We start from the raw sequence: 23178 nt of genomic DNA, 5'->3' as shown, positions 1-23178 counted from the left end.
AACATGGATGTGGCGGTGGAGGCAGACAGAACACTATATAACGTACATACCTCCCCCAACATTCAAAACTACTGTTCACAATGGAATTGCCTGCCCCTGAGAAAAAGTGGTAACTCAGGCAATCCCAGGACACGGTATCATGGCACATACCTATTGAGCTCCCGGATAGCCCGGAGTCTGCGGATATAGCGACGGCAACTAGGCAGAATAGAGAGGTGGTGAGCATGCAGGGTGAGAAAGAAGCACTCCGTAGGGAATTTCGGCTCAGAAAATGGAGGCTGATCGCCATCTAGGAAAAATAACATCATTCCCTAAATAAAATCTATTACATGTCTCAATCAGAGAAAAAGCTGAATTCAGAAGAGAAAATTACATTTGAATTTTTATGAAGTTTAAAGATACTTTTTATTTGTTTATTTATTTATTTATTTATTTGAGATGGACTTTTGCTCTCGTCACCCAGGCAGAAGTGCAATGGCACGATCTTGGCTTACTGCAAATTCCGCCTCCCAGGTTCAAGTGATTCTCCTGCCTCAGCCTCCCTAGTAAGCTGGGATTACAGGCGTGTGCTACCACACCTGGCTACTTTTGCATTTTTAGGAGAGACGAGGTTTCACCATGTTGCTCAGACTGGTCTCGAACTCCTGACCTCAGGCAATCTACCCTCCTTGGCCTCCCAAAGTGCTGGGATTACAGGCGTGAGCCACCATGCCCCGCCAGAAGTTTAAGGATACTTTTGCAATTATAAACTTAAACAATACTACAAGAAGAAGAGAATTCCTGTTAGCTCCATTCAAGGACCACCGTATTCTGTCCTACCTCGTTAAATGTGCATACAGATGTCCATCACAATCTTTTTTTTTTTTTTTTTTTAAGAGGGTCTTACTCTGTCACCTAGTGTCACCTAGGCTGCAGTGCAGTGCAGTGGTAAGATCACAGATCACTGCAGCCTCAATTTCCTGGGCTCAGGCAATCCTCCTGCCTCAGTCTCCTGGGTGGCTGGGAACACAGGCATGTGCCACCATGCTGGGCTAATTTTTTTCTTTGTAGACATGGGGTTTCCTTATTTTGCCCAGGCTGGTCTTGAACTCCTGGGCTCAAGCTCTCCTCCCACCTCAGCTTCCAAAAGTGCTGGGATTATGGATGTGAGCCACCATTCCCAGCCCATCAACAATCTTTGGTGATGTTCCTTACTGATGTATTGTATAAAATCTCCATTTTTCAACACAATACAGAAATATTTAAATCTCGAAATGGTATTAAATTATGTTAATAAACTACTGATTCCAGAGCCGTTTCCCTGCATATTTCTTTTTTCTAATTTTTTTCTATTATAAATAATGTTACTACTGGGAGGATTTATGTAAACAAAATTATTCCTTTTTCCTCCAACTTTGGGAATATAACCTGAAAAGTAGAATTATTGAGAACAACAGTATTATATTTTTTGCTATGAATCACCAGAATTCACTTCAGATAGGTTAAATAAATTGATTAAATATCACCTACTTCTTCAAAAACTTACATTCTATTTTATCACTTTGGTTTTGGCTTTTTTATAGATATATTATGATAACTTGATTTTTTTTTTCAATTTGTATCTGTTTTTTTTTTTTTTTTGAGACAGAGTCTCACTCTGTTGCCCAGGCTGGAGTGCAGTGCCGTGATCATGGCTCACTGCAAGCTCAGCCTCCTGGGTTCACACAATTCTCCTGCCTCAGCCTCCTGAGTAGCTGGGATTACAGGTGCGTGCCACCACACCCGCTAATTTTTGTATTTTTAGTAGAGATGGGGTTTCACCATGGTGATCAGGCTGGTCATGAACTCCGGACCTTTTGATCTGCCCACCTCAGCCTCCCAAAGTGCTGGGATTACAGGCGTGTGCCACCATGCCCAGCTAATTTTTGTATTTTTAGTAGAGACGGGGTTTCACCACGGTGGTCAGGCTGGTCTTGAACTCCTGACCTCGTGATCCACCTGCCTCGGCCTCCCAAAGTGCTGGGATTATAGGTATGAGTCACCACGCCAGGCCTACTGTATTAATTTTTATTATGTTTCTCTATCTCTTAAGTTCATTTTATGGTGAGGTGGTAACAATCTGTGAGGAACTACTAGCACACAGACAAGAGGGCAGTGTTTTAATGACCGAGTCACGAACACAGTACTCACAGAGTTCAGTCAGCCAGTCATTCACATCTTCCATCGTTGCATTCACACGCGTCTCATCATTGGGAAGAGTAATCCGACATCTTGGGTGAAAAATATACGTGGGATCAACTGTTTCTAACTTGATTTTTGTACTTAGCTGCTGCAGTACCCAAAGGAAATTCAGCATAAATCCATCTGTAGACACCAATCTATCATCTGTCTGTGAAAGTTGAAAAGAAAAAGTATTTTTAAACATTAAAAAAAATTTTTTTTGAGATGGGGTCTCACTCTGTTGCCCAGGCTGGAGCGAAGGGGTGTGATCTTGGCTGCAACCTCCACCTCCCAGGCTCAAGCAATCCTCCCACCTTAGCCTCCCAAGTAGCTGGGACCTAAAGTGATCCGCCCACCTCAGCTTCCCAAAGTGCTGGGATTACAGGTGTGAGCCACTGTGACCAGCCAAGAAAAAGTATTTAAAATAACATGAATAGAAATTTTGGCAAACTTTGTAAGAAAGCAGACTGAACTTTCAAACATAACTGTATCCTAAAGTCAATGAGAAGACATATATCTCATCACCACTGTCATTCCATTAATTCTATATTAGCAGGTGCTACTTGTTGAATACCGCCTATTATATAATTATTATTTATATAAGAGGCATTTTATACATTCTTTTCTTTTCTTTTCTTTTTTTTGAGATGGAGTTCCACTCTTGTTGCCCAGGCTAGAATGCAGTGGCACGATCCTCGCTCACTACAACCTCCGCCTCCCGGGTTCAAGTGATTCTCTTGCCTCAGCCTCCCGAGTAGCTGGGATTACAGGCACCCGCCACCACGCCCGGCAAATTTTTTGTATTTTTAGTAGAGATGGGGTTTCACCATATTGGCCAGGCTGGTCTCGAACTCCTGACCTCAGGTGATACGCCCGTCTCGGCCTCCCAAATTGCTGGGATTACAGGCATGAGCCACCACGCTTGGCCATTTTATACATTCTTTTACTGAACCATCACGATAATTCTTACAGGTCAGTAATACTGCTGTTAACATTTTATGCAGGAGGAAATAAAGACTCAGAGACCCTGAAGTGATTTGCCTGAGGCTCAAAATTAGTAAGTAGAAACACAATAAATGTTTCTTTCTTTCTTTCTTTTTTTTTTTTGAGACAGGGTTTTACTCTGTTGCCCAGGCTGTAGTGCAGTGGTGCAAACATAGCTCACTGCAGCCTCAACCTCCCGGGCTTAAGTGATCCTCCCACTTCAGCCTCCTGAATAACTGGGTCTACAGGTCTATGCCACTATACTGGCTAATTTTTTATTTTTTTTGTAGAGACAGGGTCTCCCTATGTTGCCCAGGCTGGTCTCGACCTCCCTGGCTCAAGTGATCCTCTTGCCTCAGCCTCCCAAGTAGCTGAAACTATAGGCATGCACCAGCCACCATGCCCAGATGACTTTTGTATATTTTGTAGAGATGGGGTCTCATTATGTCGCCAGGGCTGGTCTCAAATGCCTGGGCTCAAGTGATCCTCCCACCTCGGCCTCCCAAAGTGCTGAGATTACAGGCGTGAGCCACCATGCCCGGCCTCTTTCTCCTCTTTATTTCCCTCAAGAGCATCAAAACAAGTTGCTCCACTTCTTATCATGTGACATTGTTTCTCTAGGTGACAGCATCAGCATGCTCCTGCATTAGCAATATAACAATGTAACTTGATTACCTCTGTTAAGAAAAAAATAATAATACAACAATGATAAGAATGATAGTTAATATTGGTTGAGTGATCACTGTGTACCAGGCACCACTCTAACAGCTTTATATATAATAAACCCAGTACCAGTAGTACCGCAGCTTAGCAGATGAGGAAATGGAGGCACAGAGGAGTCACTGTCTAAGGTCCCGCAGTTAGTAAACGGTGGAACCACGATCAGAAATCACAAGATCTGTGCTCTTCTCTCTACATGATTTTTGCTTCTGAGTATACACATCACATCATTCATTCATTATTTATTACTAGTCAAGGAAGGATGCCCTTTTCTCCTCTGGCAAAGCAGCTGCAGCCACTGGCCTGTCTCACCCGGACCGAAGCACTCACGCCCTTGCAGCTGCCTTCTTGGGTCTGTTCCTGGCTGCCCCCTTGGGTCTGTTCCTGGCTGCCCCCTTCTGTTTTGGTCCGTCTACATAGCAGCTTTTGTGGTTTCCCTGCTGAAAACCCTCCCATGACAGTTCTGATCACGTAAACCTAACCCGATGGCGCCCTGCCTATCCACTAACTCCAGGACCCGACATTCCCTCCTGTTCACTCTTCTCCAGCCACAAAAGCCTGCGTGCTGGGCTTGTACCAAAGCTGCTTCGTTTCCACATTGGATAGCTCTTTTCTCAGCCACTACAATGGCTGGCTCCTTCCTATGAAACAAATGTCACCTCCTCAGGGAGGCCTTTCCTGCCACCCAATCAAAAATCACCTTCAGATCTTCCTTCTGGTACCTACAGTTCTTCTCATGTCATTTACTTTGCTCTATTTTCTTCACTGATTATACAACTGTCTAAAATCATGTATTTATATGTCTACTTGTTTATTCTGTGGAACATGGGCTCCACAAAAGCAGGAAGCTCGTCTACCTTGTTCAATACTGTACCCCCACTCCTAGAACAGTGCCTGGTAGGTGCTGACTAAATCTGGGTCAGATGAATGAATTTGACAAACAGCGAAAAGCAGTCTGTAGGAATCCTACCTGCATCTGTGCTTTCTTCATATTGGCATTGACGACAGCCGCCATGTAACTGAGAGCAGCCTCACGGGTTTCGCCATTTAACAAAATACTATGCAGAATCTTAAAAAGCTCTTGCTGAAATTTATTTTTAAAAAGAAGAAACAAATTAAAACTATTTTGCACATGATTCCTTTTTGACTTCACGAACAGCTAGCCTACTTCCCACGTTCTCTCCTCTCCCACTTCTACTCATTTTAGAAGAGCCTGAGTGAAAGAATATAAGAAATATCCACATCCAACTATGTCAAAGTAATGAGCATGAAAGCAGAATATGGAGTGGGGGAGGTAGGCAGTTACAGTTTTTTGTTTTTTTTTGAGACAGAGTCTAGCTCTGTTGCCAGGCTGGAGTGCAGTGGTGCAATCTCAGCTCACTGCAACCTGCGCCTCCCAGGTTCAAGCCATTCTCCTGCCTCAGCCTCCCGAGTAGTTGGGATTACAGGCACACGCCGCCACACCCAGCTAGTTTTTGCATTTTTGTTGTTTTTTTTTTTGAGACGGAGTTTTGCTCTTATTGCCCAGGCTAAAGTGCAGTGGCACATCTCGGCTCAGTGCAACCTCCGCCTCCCGGTTTCAAGCGATTCTCCTGCCTCAGCCTCCCAAGTCGCTGGGATTACAGGCACCCGCCACCATGCCCAGCTAATTTTTTTTGTATTTTAGTAGAGATGGGGTTTCACCATGTTGGTCAGGCTGGTCTCAAACTGCTGACCTCGTGATCCACCTGCCTTGGCCAATTTTTGTATTTTTAGCAGTGACGAGGTTTCACCATGTTGGCCAGGATGACTTCCTGACCTCGTGATCAGCCCATCTCAGCCTCCCAAAGTGTTGGGATTACAGGCATTAGCCAACACGCCCAGCCGGCAGTTACAGTTTTAATAAAATAGGCTTTGTTACTTCTTTCCCATGATCAAAATTACCTTAGTTACCCAAGCCTGTAACTTCTTTGCCTGTTTCTTTTTTTTGAGATGGAGTCTTGCTCTGTCGCCCAGGCTGATGTGCAGTGGCGTGATCTTGGCTCACTGCAACCTCCACCTCCTGGGTTCAAGTGATCCTTGTGCCTCAGCCTCCCGAGTAGCTAGGTAGCTGGGATTACAGGCACGCGCTGCCATGCCTGGCTAATTTTTGTATTTTTAGTAGAGACGGGGTTTCGTCATGTTGGCCAGGCTGTTCTCAAACTCCTGACCTCAGGTGATCCACCCCACTCGGCCTCCCAAAGTGTTGGGATTACAGGCATGAGCCATCACACCCGGCCCTTCTCTGCCTTTAAGTTTGAGAATTGAAGACATATTAATCTGCATTTGGGATAAGCAAGTCAGTGAGGGTGTGTGCAAACTAACAATCCTTGCTCACCCTCACAGTGTAAATGCCTAAGGGCCAGCTGGAGGAGGAGCCGGGCCACTAAGCTTAGGACCAGTTCCCAGTGATGCTACATACAAAGGCAGCATACTGCTGTTGTTACAACCTGTTATTCAAGACACAGGCTACTTACTTATAGTTTATCTTTTTTATGTAAGATCGAATTGGCTTTTGTTAGCCGTTTGTCTACTGGGCATAGTCCAGTCTACAAAATAAAAGCTCTGTATCTGGAGCTCATCTTTGATACTTCCTCTGGATTTGTTTTCTGAACACTTACCCTTCCGAGCTCTAAGTAATGCTGCAATGATTGGCTAACCACACGAGTGTTTTCCAGGGTAATGGCAGGCCCTGAGAAGTATTTTTCAACCACTTTAACCTGGAAAGAGAAGGAAAAAATGCAGTCAACATATAATGCACATTTGGGAAAGAATCTGAATAAAAGGGCAGCAAAGTACAAGTAGCCACTATACTTACATCATCTTCTGCAAAGACTGAGAAGCTAAAGAAAGCCCCTAAGTAAGAGAGTCTCTGCAGCTCCCGCCCACAGCCAGGACTTAAGGATTTCGGCAACCACAACCGCAAAGAAGCAACCTAGGCAGAAGATGGAAGAGCCAGTCAAGCCGCTGAACAGGCCGGTGGGGTAAAAATGTAATGAAAACTCTCCAGCTCCTCTGTATTTTCACAAGATATTATTAAAACTTTTATGTTTCAGCCAGGCATGGTGGCTCACGCCTGTAATCCCAGCACTTTGGGAGGCCAGTGTGGGTGGGGGTGGGTCACCTGAGGTCAGGAGTCCGAGACAACCCTGGCCAACATGGAGAAACCCCGTCTCTACTAAAAATACAAAAATTAGCCGGGCGTGGTGGTGTGCGCCTGTAATCCCAGCTACTGGGGAGGCTGAGGCCAAGAGAATCGCTTGAACCCAGGAGGCAGAGGTTGCAGTGAGCTGAGATTGCGCCACTGCGCTCCAGCCTGGGTGACAGAGTGAGACTCTGTCTCAAAAAAAAGAATGTTTAAGTTTCAGGATACTATTGGATGAAGTTCAAATGAACTCTTCTTATACCACCAAAGGACTCGAATAACTTTTCCATACCTCTTGTTAGTTTAGTTGTACAATACTTGTCAAGGGAAAAAAAACAGGCCCGGTGCGGTGGCTCACGCCTGTAACCCAACACTTTGGGAGGCTGAGGCGGGTGGATCACCTGAGGTCAGTAGTTCGAGACCAGCCTGGCCAACATGGTAAAACTCCATCTCTACTAAAAATACAAAAAAATTAGCCTCGCATGGTAATGCATGCCTGTATTCCCAGCTACTTGGGAGGCTGAGGCACGAGACTCACTTGAACCCAGGAGGCGTAGGCTGCAGTGTGCCAAGATCCCACCACTGCACTCCATCCAGCCTGGGTGACAGAGTGAGATTCTTAGAAAAAAAAGGGAAAAAAATCATAGAAATGAACAACTGTAATGCAGGATATAACGTGTCTAACAAAAATGTAACAGTTGAGAGCCTCCCAGACACGTTACCTCCGCCTACACCTAAATGTCCTTCAAGAGACATTTTCCAGGCCATCTCACTAGAGGAATGCCTTCTGGGTTATGATATATTCACTGAAAATGTGCAAGCCCATCAGGTGAGTGCTTACCAAATTGCACACAGGGTGTGTCTTCCCAAACTTGGTTTCACAGAGCTCACCTAGTGCCTAGAAATAAGATCAGAGTCATTTAAATGCATTTCATCTTAAACTGACTGTCATTTGTAGCATAAAGAAACAGTTTTAACTGCTGCTATAAATTCGTTCCCTCTAAAATGGCACACATGCATTCCCTCTGAAATGGCAGCAGCTTCACTACTTTTTCTGATTAATAAACTAAAACACATGCAATGTGAAAACTTGAAATAAAACAGAAATATAAAATGAAACTAAAAATTACTCAAGCTTTACCCTCAAAGATAACCTCTATTGATATTTTGAGCAACAGTTTTCAGATATATTTTTGTGTACTGTATCTATATATGTTTTTTACAAAAAAGTTTTTCCACTTCATATCTTTCCATGTCAAAAAGATTTATTTCATAAACTTTAGATGGCTCCTCTTGCCAGTGTTAAACATGACTATAAATAATTACAATTTAATAAGCTATCAAATTCAAAACATATTTAAAAACATAACTTGGTTTCAAGATTTCTAGTACTTTTAAGAATTCCAACACTTTCCTTCAGACATCCAACCATCCTAACATTAGAGAACGATGAAAAACACTTTTTAGGGACATAAACATAATTTAGCATGCCCATGGTAACTCAATCAAACATTATTTTCAACAGTTAATTTCCTCTGTGATTCGGACGCAGCTCTAGAAGTTGCTACATGAGCCGAAGAGTGCATTTAGGCATTGACACAACGTTGAGATGCCTTTGAGGTTCAGGCAGCCTCAACTCAGAAGGAAGCGTTCTCACTGCCTAGTGCAGGAGTTCACAAACGTGGCTGCATATTAGGATCACATGGGAAGCCTTTGGAAACCCCAATGCCATGCCACACCCCTGGTGAATTAAATCACAAGGTCTGGGGTGGGGAGCCAGGCAGAAACACCTTTAAAGATCCCCAGCTGATTCCAAGGTGATTCCAACGTATGGCACAGCAGGATCCACTGACCTAGAGAATGATCACAATGATTTCTGATTTTAGCTTCAACAGTCTTCCGCTTCCTGCCTCTCATTATTGTACCCTCTCACTCACTGTGTCCTCGTTATTATGCAAGCATCAATAATGGCACAAAATGAAATCACTGTCTACCACAATGGAGGCCTCTGTCTTTTGAACAAAAGGACATTTTGGTGATATCAGATGCTAAAAGCTCCTCACTGAAACATCAAGCTAATTCACACCACAACCCAAAAGCCAACAGTCCCATGAAGGAACATCTACATAATATGGTGATAATTAGTGTTCACTAAAATATTTCATCACTGAACTCAAACAATCAGATTATTCCACTTCCTTTTATCTGCCACAGGGAGAACAATACATAAGGATTCAAATAATTTTACCAGGAGCCCCAATAACATGTACAATGGAAAGAGCTCTGGCATAAATCCACTTAAAATTATTTTTTAAAGTAGGAATTCTGGTTTCACCTTCTAATTTCCCAGCATTCTTGTAGCCTTTTAGTGCCATGACAGGTTTGAATTTTTTAAATAGATAAATACACCCTTTGTGTACAGCTCTGTTTTAACATTTATCACAGTATCTGTTCAACTGTTGCGCTGTAGCTCTTATTTTTGCAGTAGATTATGAGTGCCTTGAGGAGAGGGACCTTGTCTTCCTAGCTTCTGTATCACCAGTGTCTAGCACAGAACAGATCGTCAGTAATGAATTCATGGTATAATGGAATCCAATCAGTGGAATAAGTAAAAGAAATAAATACAGTAAGAAAAACAACCATGGTCTCAATTTACATAAGACTTAATTTATACATAGAATAAACTAATTTCATTTTGATATTTTTTCCTTTACACTTCTGCAACGAAAATATTCAGTAACACTTCAAAATACTTTTCTCCCAAAATTTCAAATAAGCGAATTCAGAACAGAAAGGAGCTTCTAATTTTCATTCTAGTTTCAGCATTTTCACAACATTCAAGCCTCCCCATGGGAATCTAGCTGAAGCTTCTGTCCACAATGTATGCCTGCTCTAAGTGCGTTAAAGAGCTAAGCAGATTTCTACTTCCCAAGTAAATATGACCTTAGGAAACAGGGAGGGTGAACAAGAGAGCTACACTGAGATTTTCTGCACAAAGTAAACACATAAAGATAAAATTGTATTCATTTTCTTAGTATGTACAGCTTTGCCTTTTTTATTTGCATTTTTAATAGGTTTTTTTTTTTTAAGTAACAAAATTTCATCCCAACTATGGTATGCTCATTGCTAGGAGATAAGTTATCTTTTTCATAAGCTATACAAAGTACATTGTAATAAGTGCATTTAACTCCTGTCTAGGACTTGGATAGGTGGAAGATGTACCAGGCTGCTAACTGTCTTCACTGATGCATCTCACTGCACACCAAACACTCTGCATGGCCAACACAGTGATTTCATGTTTTAAATTTGAAAACAAGGTTGATCTCATGGACCTGAAAGAAAAGTATATGTCAAAATAATCTGAAAGAAAAACATCTATTGAATGAGTTAAAGAAAAAGAACAAAGTTTTACCATGAGGGGGTATTTAAAGTAGTCACTGTCGAGGGAGCACTCTTTGGCAGCAAGAGCCAGGCCTTGTAAAATGGGGATAAATATCTATAAGAAAAAAAACAAAATCAGAAATATAAGTTTAAGAGAATCTAAGAGTGGGAAGTATGTCAAATAAGGTGCTAGAACTGAATGTCCAAATTTCATTCCTTCCCCAGGGAAAAGCTTTTTTGCATATAAAAGTCTAGAATTCAGCCAGAGTGTTGACCTGTTCTTTGACAAGTCTAACCATAAAGTAATACAGCTGAATTCTCCAGAAGTAAGAGGAGTTTGGTGAACTCTAATACTCTGACAGGACCCCCAGTAATTCAACAAAACCCAGTAATTCAACAAAACCCATACATTTGGAGCCTGTTGAAGAACTCTCCAGGAGTCGTTGCTCTACTCAATTAAATTCTGCACATCTCAGCAACTAATATGTTCTTGATTACCAAGCATCTATAACCTGTTAAAAAATTCAATTAAATGTTCCAATATTTCCTCCTTTCTATCTATCTATCTATCTATCTATCTATCTATCTATCTATCTATCTATCTATATTGAGACGGAGTCTCGCTCTGTCACCCAGACTGGAGTGCAATGGCACAGTCTTGGCTCACTGCAACCTGTGCCTCTGGGGTTCAAGTGATTCTCCTGCCTCAGCCTCCCGAGCCAGCTGGGATTACAGGCATGTGCCACCACACCTGGCTAATTTTTGTATTTTTAGTAGAGACGGGGTTTCACTTTGTTGGCCACGCTGGTTTCGAACTCCTGACCTCGTGATCCACCCGCCTCAGCCTCCCAAAGTGCTGGGATCACAGGCATGAGCTACCGCGCTTGGCCCTCTATCAATATTTTTTAAAAGCTTTTCCCCATTTATTTTGAGGAAAACAAGATAAACAGGCCAACAATCAACATTATTACTACATTAAACTTAAATTAGAGCAAAGAGCTAGTTGGTAAATGTTGAAATTTACAAAGAAAGCTTTAGTTAGAAAGCCTTACCTCCACATATAGTGTAATTAATACATTAACCTGCTATTGGCACTTAAAGGAACTCAAATCTGCTTTTATACATTTATGATTAATACCAGGTAACACCATGTAAGATTTACTCAGCCTAGCTCATCTTCAAATTTCACAATGCAAGCACTGATCAACACATTTAGGGAGTTGGTTGGGATTCAAGGCTAATAACATTAAATAGAAATGTTGTAAACAACAGCTGACAATCTGAATGCCAACAAGTTGTAATAGGAGTATACTATGTAGCCACTAGAAAACTTGAAAAATTCCCTTTCCTACTAATTTCATTCCATGAGCACCTTAATAATTTAAAGAGCACAGTATAAAACACAGGTGCCCTGGATGACAAAGTGTCCGTGGAGTGTTGTGAGATATCAATACAGCTCTGGAAGAGATCATTCTATGGTTTCTGCAATACCAACAATCAAGGTAGATGTAACTTGCTCTCATATGCCAGATAAAAATGGAGAAGTAACACTCAGGTGTGGAGCTGGGGAATGCCAACATTGTAATGAGGAAGAAAAGACAAACAGAGGTTCCAGAATCACCAAAAATTAGTTCATAACTGGTTGTCCTGAAAAATCTCCAAATTTTTTTAGGGAGGCTACAAGTAAAATATAATTACACTTTCTTGTATAGTTATCCTTTTGTGCATTGCACAGGTAAAATATTACTAAGCATAATCTTTTTCTTTTTCTTTTTCTTTTTTCCAGACACAATTTCACTCTGTCGCACAGGCTGGAGTGCAGTGGCGCGATCTCAGCTAAATGCAGCCTCCATCACTCGGGTTCAAGAGATTCTCCTGCCTCAGCCTCCCAAGTAGCTGGGACTACAGGCATGCACTTCTGCGCCAGCTAATTTTTTGTATTTTGAGTAGAGATGGGGTTTTGCCATGTTGCCCAGCCTGGTCTCGAACTCCTGAGCTCAGGCGATCCACCTGCCTCGGCCTCCCAAAGTGCTAGGATTACAGGCGTGAGCCACCATGCCTGGCCTGACCTATATATTTTAAATAATTCTTCAATTTTCAAATGAATACCTCCTAGCACTGATTAAAAATACTGTAAGTATCCACCTCCAGTCCTAAATTCTAGCTGCTATTTATTTATCTGTGAACATTTCTCAAACATTAAAAGGAGGTAGATATTTCAGTCAAAGATTTAATAATTCACATTTGCCACTCTTTCAAGACAAAAAGGTAAAATGCTGCTTTGCAGTCCAACAGCTCCATCCCAGTTATCATTCCTCTCTAGATAAAACACATGGTAGCACATAAGAAAAGACAAAGAGTATTCAACACTGAGTGGCTGAAAAGTCAGCAGAATTCTGGGATTAAAAACAAACAGGTCTGGGCCAGGCGCTGTGGTTCACACTTGTAATCCCAGCATTTTGGGAGGCCGAGGTGGGCGGACCACTTGAGGCCAAGAGTTCAAGACCAGCCTTGAGGCCAAGAGTTCAAGACCAGCCTGGCCAACATGACAAAACTTCATCTCTACTAAAAATACAAAAATTAGCTGGGCATGGTGGTACGCTCCTATAATCCCAGCTACTTGGGAGGCTGAGGCAGGAGAATCGCTCGAACCCAGAAGGTGGAAGTTGCAGTGAGCTGAGACGGCGCCACTGCACTCCAGCCTGGGTAACAGAGAGAGACTCACCCTCAAAATTAATTAATTAATTAATAGAATAAACAGGTCTGTGGTGGTCGTATAACACTGTGAATGTAGTAAATGCCACTGAATTGTACACTTCAAAATGATGGCTTGAGGCCAGGTGTGCTGGCTCATGCCTGTAATCCCAGCACTTTGGGCGGCTGAGGCGGGTGGATCACCTGACATCAGGAATTCAACACCAGTCTGGCCAACATGGTGAAACCCCGTCTCTAATAAAAATACAAAAAATTAGCTGGGTGTGGTGGCAGGCGCCTGTAATCCCAGCTACTTGGGAGGCTAAGGCAGGAGAATCGCTTGAACCCGGGAGGCGGAGGTTGCAGTGAGCCGAGATCATGCCATTGCACTTAGGCCTGGGCAACAAGAGCAAAATTCCATCTCAAAAAACAAAACAAAACAAAACAAAACAACAACGGTGGTTTGATGTTATATGAATTTCATCTTAATTTAAAAAATGCAGGACTTCTCTGTCCAAAGCTGGTGATGGGGAAACAAACAAACAAAAAACACCCAGAGGTCATTTCATAACCTCTTGTGTAAGTTTGTTTATGAATAAAGTAGGCTCAATATACCCCTTTCAGCTGGTCACTGGGCTGATTTTATATAGAGAGAACTACTCGATTCCTCAAATGGTATCTTCTTGAATAGGAAAAGTATTCTAATTACTACCCATTACCTCTTTAATGTAGTGCATCACTCAAACCTTCCAAGACAGTAATTTTTTTTTTTTTTTTTTTTTTTTTTGAGACAGTCTTGCTCTGTCACCCAGGCTGGAATGCAGTGGTGTAATCTCGGCTCACTGCAACCTCGTCTCCTTGGTTCAAGCAATTCTCCTACCTCAGCCTCCCAAGTAGCTGGGATTACAGACACCCGTCACCACACCCAGTTAATTTTTGCATTTTTAGTAGAGACCGGGTTTCACCACGCTGGCCAGGCTGGTCTCGAACTCCTGACCTCAGGCGATCCATCCGCCTCAGCCTCCCAAAGTGTTGAGATTACAGGCGTGAGCCACTGCGCCCGGCCGACAGTGATTTATTTTCCTGAGAGTTCACTTACCCTTCTAGAGAAGAAAAGCTCACTATGTTGCCATTAATATTTCCATTAGTCAGTAAGATCATCACCTAAGATAAACAGCTAGTGAATTCCAGACAGAATACACAACACTAACTGGAATTTTTATTCTTGGATCCTGGCTGCTTCTTTTACAAATATTTTGAAGACTGCTGAAAACACAATTCCCAAGAATTCAAAGGTCTTAAAATTAACAGTTATAAATAATCTTAGGTATAAAACAGAGTGAAAGGAATCATACCAATTATAGCTATTGCCTCTGTTATTCTCTGTAGTCACAAAAAAGGAAGTGATGATACAGCAAACTGTAAGAAAATTTGATAAAAGCCCTTTCATCAGGGAAAAAACTTGTGTGACAGTTGCTAAAGGCAAAGTGCTTACTTTCCCAAACAGGTCCTTCAAACAGCAATGTTAACAACAAAGTTTCACCTTGGAAGAAACCTTCAAGACTACGTACACAGCTTTATTTTTAAGCACTACATATCTGCATTTTCACCTGGCTTTACACAATGAGATACCAAAACAATGTATAAATACCAAATGAAATAATTAGGAAGATATGAGACATCTTTCCTAGTGGGAAGAAGACAAAGATTCTATATGGCATGCAGGCTGCCAATGAGCTAATATGGTCATTAAGTTAATCTTACAAACTCAGAGAATGAATTTTTGACACTACTTATCTGGCAAATGCATATCATGCCTTATGCCGTCTCTGGGTATTCTTGTTTTAAAAGCTCCTTGAAATCAGGAACGGGGCCTTACATATTTTTTTCATATTGCCCGAAGCACCTAGTGCAGACCTTGTTTAGAAGATAGATGTTTGACTGATTCGTTGAAATGGGCACATGATTTGAACAATGCAGCTGTCAATCTGATTTCCTCAAAAGAATATTGGGTAGGCCTTCTCTCTAATAACACATGGATGTTCGAATTCAGGCAAAAGTTTTCAATGGTCAGAAATTAGCCTCGACATAGAGGCTCTCAGGCTAAAATTTGCAAGAGCAAACTCATACGACCGTACCTGCTTGAACACTTCTTCATCCTGGTGAGTGGTTCTCACCAGTTCCTGAATGAAGCCATATGGGAGATTCCTACACAGCATATACGGCACTAGGAAGGACGGCTGCTGCAAGGACCTGTGGACCCATGAACATTAGGGACGGTGATGAAGTCAACTCACTACAGAGGCACGTGAAATGTCATGTCAGCAACAACTGCCCAGTCAAAAGTCAAACTTGACATCTCCCAAATATTCTGCAAAATAGTTTCAGGCGAAAGCTAACCCTTCTTACCAATAGTAATCACTTTTTGGTCTTTTTAATGAGACACTATGGGAATTTTCAAAGAATTCATCTTTTCCTACATAGAGCCCTTTAAAAATGAAGCACTGAAAAAAGGAAGCATGGCCAGGCACGGTGGCTCACGCCTGCAATACCAGCACTTTGGCAGGCTGAGGTGGGAGGATCACTTGAGGCCCAGAGTTGAAGACCAGTCTGGGCAACACAGCAAGACTCTGTCTCTACAAAAGATGAAAATATCAACTGGGCAAGATGGTGTGTGCCTGGAGTCCTGGCTACTTGGAAGGCTGAGGCAGGAGGACTGCCTGAGCCCAGGAGTTTGAGGTTATAGTGAGCACTCCAGCCTAGACAACAGAGTGAGATTCTGTCTCTTAAAAATAAATAAATAAATAAAAATAAAAAAGAAGTATTATATGTTTTTTTTGTTGTTGTTTGTTGTTTTTTAGAGATGGAGTCTCGCTCTGTTGCCCAGGCTGGAGTATGGTGGCGCAATTTCGGCTCACTGCAACCTCCGCCTCCCGGGTTCAAGTGATTCTCCTGCTCAGCCTCCCAAGTAGCTGGGACTACAGGCGCCTGCCACCACGCCTGGCTAATTTTTGTATTTTTAGTAGAGATGGGGTTTCACCATGTTGGTCCCAAACTCCTAACCTCAGGTGATCCACCTGCCTTGGCCTCCCAAAGTGCTGGGATTACAGATGTAAGCCACCACGCCTGGCCGTATTATATGTTTCTTTATGCCTCATCTAAATTGGGGGAAAAAATATTAGTAGTGGCTGAGGGCTTATTAATTTTAATCAAGGAACGTTTTTTAAAGTTTTGGTACATGTATATAATTTTCCTTCTTTTTGAAAAGTTTCAAAAACATATGGTTATGGCATACAAAATAACATAAGAACACCTAGAATAAATAAATGTAATGTTATGTTTGTGAATTTTTATTTATTTAGTATTATTATTATTTTTTGAGACAGTCTTGCTCTGTTGCCCAGGCTGGAGTGAAGTGGCGTGATCTCAGCTCACTGCAACCTCCACCTCCCGGGTTCAAGCAATTCTCGTGCCTCAGCCTCCCCAGTAGTTGGGATTACAGGTGCGTGCCACCATGCCCAGCTAATTTTTTGTATTTTTAGTAGAGATAGGGTTTCACCATGTTGCCCAGGCTGGTCATGAAGTCCTGAGCTCAGGCAATCCATCTGCCTTGGCCTCTCAAAGTGATAGGATTACAGGCATGAGCCTGGCCTGTAAACTTTTAATTTTTTATTATTTTATTAATTTTTATTTTTTGAGACAGAGTCCTGCTCTGTCACTCAGGCTGGAGTGCAGTGGCACGATCTCGGCTGCAACCTCCACCTCCTGGGTTCAAACGATTCTCTGGCCTCAGCCTCCCAGGTGGCTGGGATTACAGGCACATGCCACAATGCCCAGCTAAGTCTTTTGTATTTTTAGTAGAGACGGAATTTTGCCATGTTGGCCAGGCTAGTCTCAAACTCCTGACCTCAGGTGATCCGCCAGCCTCAGCCTCCCAAAGTGCTGGGATTACAGGTGTGAGCCACCATGCTCGGCCTAAACTTTTAAATGTAAGCTTTTCCCTTTAGATATTTTTTATATAAAAGAAATGAAATACACATCCTTTTTAAAAACTTGCTACCTTTAGAAGACTGAGAGGCAAAGAAAAAAAATTTTTAAAAACAAAATAAAAACAAAAATTTGCAACCTTTATAGGATTCTCAGAAGCAAATAATGTAGCACTTTGGTTGATTCCTAAACTATCCATTCCATTACTATTGTTTATTACTCAGTAACAGAAATTGACCGTGTTATACATGGAAGGTGATGATCTACACATTTTATCAAATACCTCCACCAACTTCAGGCAGTTGCTGTATAGTCAGTTACTAATTTTCTGCCATGCTTGTCCACATAGTTCAACAATGGTCTATTTCAAAAAGCAGGCAGAATTCTTAAAACATAACTAATTTCTTTTTAAAATATGCTTTGTACTACTTTAGAAGATGAGGAAGAAAGGAGTGTTTATTTTCATAGTATTTTAGCGAAGGAAAGGGACCTTCATTTTACAGGTGAGGAAGGGAGTTATCTAAGGTGGTGCAAGAATGGCCAGAGAGCCTGATGTCCACTGACGGCTAGGGCTCTCTGCCTGCTAATGTCAAGCACGTCACGGGTCTTCATACCTGGGCTGTGTTAGGGAGCCTTGTAGTACTAAAGCAGTATGGGATATGCACTGTGAGCGGATGTTGCTCAGAAGCTGGCTGACTGCTGGCTGGCTGCACATCTGAAAAGGAAAGGTGGAAGTGAGGACGACAAGAAACAAACAATACAATTCCATGCTGTTAAAAATAAGAGTTAAAAGGGATGGACCATCAGTAAACAGCGTGCTTTCCTCTTCCTTTATTCTTAGTGAACGAGCTACAGTAACTGTGCCTTCCAAGTGTACTGCCTCTGCAGAAACTGATGTCAGAGAAGAAAGAAGCGTAAGTTTGAGGTGACCAAACTTATACTTAAGAACCTTAGAGGCCAGGCGCGGTGGCTCACACCTGTAATTCCAGCACTCTGGGAGGCCAAGGCAAGCAAATCACTTGAGGTCAGAAGTTTAAGACTAGCCTGGGCCGGGCACGGTGGCTCACGCCTGTAATCTCAGCACTTTGGGAGGCCAAGAAGGGCGGATCACAAGGTCAGGAGATCGACGCCATCCTGGCCAACATGGTGAAACCCCATCTCTACTAAAAGACAAAAAATTAGCCAGACATGGTGGTGCACGCCTGTAGTCCCAGCTACTCAGGAGGCTGAGGCAGGGGAATCACTTGAACCCAGGAGGCAGAGATTGCAGTGAGCCAAGATTGCACCACTGCACTCCAGCCTGGTGACAGAGTGAGACTCCATCTCAAAAAAAAAAAAAAAAAAAAAAAAAAAAAAAAAGACCAGCCTGGCCAACATGGTGAAACCCCATCTCCACTAAAAAAAACATAAAAATTAGCTGGGTGTGCCGGGTGCAGTGGTTCACACTTGTAATCCCAGCACTTTGGGAGGCCAAGGTGGGCAGATCACATGAGGTCGGGAGTTAGAGACCAGCCTGACTAATATGGAGAAACCCCATCTCTACTAAAAATACAAAATTAGCCGGGCATGGTGGCTCATGCCTGTAATCTCAGCTACTCGGGAGGCTGAGGCAGGAGAATCACTTGAACCCAGGAGGCAGAGGTTGCGGTGAGCCGAGATTGTGCCATTGTACTCCAGCCTGGGCAACAAGAGTGAAACTCCGTCTCAAAAGAAAAAAAAAAAATTAGCTGGGTGTGGTGGCAGGTGCCTGTAATCCCAGCTACTCAGGAGGCTGAGGCAGGAGAATTGCTTGAACCTAGGAGGTGGAGGTTGCAGTGAGCTGAGATAGCGCCACTGCACTCCAGCCTGGGTGAGAGAACGAGACTCCATCTCAAAAAACAAAAAAAACAAAAAACCTTGGAGACATGCCCACTCATTTCGCTTCCACTAAGGCTAAGTACAACAAAGCCCAAAGAAGGCCCTTTACAAATATGAAACTAACCAGTGGGCAACGAGGTTCGTTTCTAACGTAAAATTAAAATCAGAAAATGAAATAGGAATAAAATGAGAAAACAATGAAGCCAGTCAAGAGAAGTGATGGGAAAAGGGTAGCTTACTGAGTTTAAGCCCAGCCTTGCAACTTATTATTTACGTGATTCTGGACAAGTACTTAATCTCTCTGAGAGTCATTTGCTTAGTCATACGTTGAAAAAAGAATGCCTATGTTATACCGGGTTCCACTGCACTAACAGAGCAACTGAGGATACAAGCTAATGTCGACCTGGCACAGTCCTTGGCAATCTACAGAGGCTCTATAATGTTGGTTATTATAACAAAGCAGTAGAATTATCAGGGCCATATGAGTCACTGGCGGTACCGAGCTACAGTGTGGTCAAGAGAGGACTCTGAAGCCAGGCCATCTAGGTTCAAACCTTGGCTCTGTCTCTATTAGAATGTGAGTTCCACGAGGGCAGGGATCTCTGTTTTGTTCATCGACACATCCTAAGTTCCTAGTATTGTGCCTGGCACATGGCAAATGCTCAATAATTGCTTTACTGATTGAATAAATCAATGAATGCTCCAGGGGTGGGGATAATCAAACAAATAACTAGGCTTTTTTTTTTTTAAGTTAATCCATTTCATATTACCTTTGGTGCTTTTTTTTCCTCTATTCCAACTCGGTCGAAACACTCGATGAGGTAGTTCAGCATATCTGTCTCTTTGCAGGTTTCAATGGTGAAATGGTCACTGTAGGAATCCCAATTACTTGCTCCACCAGAGGCTCCCAAACTTCAGAGAAGACAAGAAGAAATTCTGATTCTTATCTCTTGATTATTTTTGGCAGAGTTTGCATTTCTGCAGCAGAAAGCCTGTTAGGATCCCTGTACACATAACAAAGCACAAACACCCATGCGGCCAAGATCCACCCTGACTGCTTGTTTCACCTGCTCCAAAGCCAACAATAGTAACTTTTGGTAACATTTCAGGGACCTAAGAAGGGCTGCTTCTTACTGCAGGTGGCAACTTAGAAAACCAGAAGCACTAAGAACTGGTACCAAGTGTTAAGCATTGGAAGGGACATCACAGGTACTTTAACCAAAAAGAATGGCATCACTCAGAGGGCTGTAGGTTAAAGCCAGACTATGCTACTGCTGTAATCAAACTCTTTGGGGGAAAAGTTATAAGGGACTGACAAAATAGCCCTCATCTTTGTGACTTCTACCATGGATCTCAAAAGCCCTCATCTAACATTTGGCAATAGAACCAAAGGTTAAGAAACTCTCCAGTTAGGAGGAGACATGAACATATTTGCTATCGACATAAAAACTCTAAAACTATCAGTGAAAAAGGTAAAGTAGTATAGTAAAAGACAAAACAAAAATATTGTACTAGGAGTAACCAGACGTGGGTTCTAGTCTCAACCCCACTGCTTACTTGTTACCTGAAGCTAGAACCTCCATCTCTTTTGCAGTGGGGTTTTAATGAAATAATGTGGAGGTGCTTTGTAAAATATCAGCAGTCTATACTGTGAAGCACTGTTATGTTAGTAGTAACTATCCTCTGAGATAAAAACCAAACATAAGCACAAGGGTTAAATTTGAGGACATTAAACAAAGTTAAAATCAACCATTGACAGGCCACATAACAAATCTGGTGTTTAACTCACAAACGGATTTGATATACATAAAAGACACATACGGATTAATTACGACAGGAAAAAGTAAGGAGTACTGAAATGAAGAAAATGAGAAAACATAAACTTGGCAAAAAACCTACATACAGAAGATGATAAAGGATGGTAATATGGCCGGGTATGGTAGCTCATGCCTGTAATCCCAGCACTTTCGTACACCAAGGCAGGTGGATCACTTGAGGCCAGGAGTTCAAGACCAGCCTGACCAACAGGGCGAAACCCTGTTTCTACTAAAAATACAAAAATTTGTTGGGCGTGGTGGCACACGTCTGTAATCCCAGCCACTCAGGAGGCTGAGGCACAAGAATCACTTGACCGTGGGAGGAGGTTGTTGCAGTGATCCGAGATCATGCCACTGCACTCCTGCCTGGGCGACAAAGAGAGACGCTGTCCTAAAATAAAAGAAAAAAAGTATGGGAACATCAGGAATGTGAGAGACACATCCCTACTTCAACCCAGGACACACAATTAATGTCTAGAAACTAACAGGACCAAGAGGAATTGACATGTTTTACAGACAGATAGATATGCATAACTAATTTTGGAACACATTTGTAACACATGCGCCACATAACAACATTTCACTCTGTGATGGACCAAATATACCCTAGTGGTCCCACAAGGTTATAATGCCATATTTTTACTGTATCTTTTCTATGTTTAGACATGTTTAGATACACAAATACTCACCATAATTGGCATAAGCATCTAATTGCCTAGAGTGTTCAGTACACTAACATGCAGTACAGGTTTGTAGCCTAAGAGAAACAGGCTATATATCACATAGCCTAGGTGTGTAGTAGGCTGTATGATCTAGGTTGTGTAAGTATACTCTATGATGTTCACACAATGACCAATCTGCCTAACGATCCATTTCTCAGAATGTATCCCTCTCGTTAAAGGACACATGTCTGTATGGACATCATTGTCCTTAGACTTTGGAAAACTACACATAATTGACCTTGGAATACAGGTATGATATTGGCCAAACGCGGTGGCTCAAGCCTGTAATCCCAGCACTTTGGGAGGCTAAGGTAGGTGGATCACTTGAGGTATAGGAGTTGGAGACCAGCCTGACCAACATGGTGAAACCCTATCTCAACTAAAAATACAAAAAAATTAGCCAGGCATGGTGGCGTGTGCCTGTAATCCCAGCTACTTGGGAGGCTGAGGCAGGAGAATCTCTTAAATCCCGGGAGGCAGAGGCTGCTGTGAGCTGAGATCACACAACTGCACTCCAGCCTGGGCAAGAGAGCGACTATGATATTTGCTGGGCACGGTGGCTCATGCCTGTAATCCCAGCACTTTTGGGAGGCCAAGGCGGGCAGATCACTTGAGGTCAGGAGTTCGAGACCAGCCTGGCCTGCTATTAAAAAAAAAAAAAAAAAAAGTATGGTATTAAAGTATTTCAGTAAGAAGGAGAAACAATGCTACTTTGAAATTCAAGGCGTTCAGCCCAGAGTCTAGTAAATTTGAACTCCAACAACCTATAACATAGGCCTGACAGGTGAAAGCAAAGGGAGACAATGAGGCTGAGAAGCAGTCAAAGGAACAAGGCAGCCAACTCCCTGCCGACTGAGTAGGTAACTAAGCCACCTACAAAGCCCTCGCCAGAGTCATGACAAGGCTGGGCAGGTCCGTGTGGGATCCCTTAACAAACAAAGGCAATTAATTATTGTGTCTTTTTTTTTGAGATGGAGTCTCGCTCTGTCATCCAGGTTGGAGAGCAGTGGTGTGATCTCTGCTCAGTGCAAACTCCGCCTTCTGGGTTCAAGCAATTCTTGTGCCTCAGCCTCCCAAGTAGCTGGGACTACAGGCGCTCGCCACCATGTACAGCTAATTTTTGTATTTTTAGTAGAGACAGTGTTTTACCATGTTGGCCGGGATAGTCTCAAACTCCTGACCTCAAATGATCCATCTGCCTCAGCCTCACAAAGTGCTGGGATTACAGGTGTGAGCCACAGCACCTGGCCAATTATTGTGTCTTTATAGCAACTAATTTTTTGGTATACTTTATTAATTAATGGCAGGATCTGGTATCTGCTGACTGGCTTGATAACTGAAAAGTGAGTACTGTAATAAAGCACAGGAAAAACACACACTAGAACAAACAGAAAAAGCCATCAACCAATGAGAGAAGTGCAGGGAACCCCCCGAAAGGAAAAAATAAATATCTATCTTTGCTTGTAGCAATTTTAGTTAGTTTCAAGACCTGCGATCCCTCCTCTGCTGCTAACATTCATAACTCAGTGACTATATTCACTGCACTTTGCAAGGATGAACTTTGCTAAAACAGGCTTGTACCTACACACAATTGAGGGTAATTTTCCTATGAACAGCTCTTGCAGATGACAATGAAAATAGATCTTCTTCATGT

The 23178-nt window shown here is 42.5% G+C and overlaps 1 protein-coding gene across 8 annotated transcripts in view; it reads right to left on the bottom strand.

The window, feature by feature from the left end:
- The window catches only part of UBE4B (ubiquitination factor E4B), a 148282-nt gene that overhangs the window by 43884 nt on the left and 81220 nt on the right, over positions 1-23178 (bottom strand). For all 8 annotated transcript variants that reach the window (NM_001410744.1, NM_001105562.3, NM_006048.5 and 5 more), the window contains 10 exons: positions 19756-19897; positions 17743-17843; positions 15280-15394; positions 10479-10562; positions 7908-7964; positions 6740-6856; positions 6543-6641; positions 4874-4987; positions 2170-2368; positions 151-289 (listed from right to left, as the gene is read on the bottom strand). In NM_001410744.1, the coding sequence (NP_001397673.1) occupies positions 151-289; positions 2170-2368; positions 4874-4987; positions 6543-6641; positions 6740-6856; positions 7908-7964; positions 10479-10562; positions 15280-15394; positions 17743-17843; positions 19756-19897 (1167 nt within the window). The remainder of the gene's footprint in view (positions 1-150; positions 290-2169; positions 2369-4873; positions 4988-6542; positions 6642-6739; positions 6857-7907; positions 7965-10478; positions 10563-15279; positions 15395-17742; positions 17844-19755; positions 19898-23178) is intronic.

The sequence above is a fragment of the Homo sapiens genome, chromosome 1 (genome assembly GCF_000001405.40).
Source record: "Homo sapiens chromosome 1, GRCh38.p14 Primary Assembly".
Taxonomy (NCBI): Eukaryota; Metazoa; Chordata; class Mammalia; order Primates; family Hominidae; genus Homo; species Homo sapiens.
Note: the sequence above shows the minus strand (reverse complement) of the source record. Positions and strands in the feature narration are given on the sequence as shown.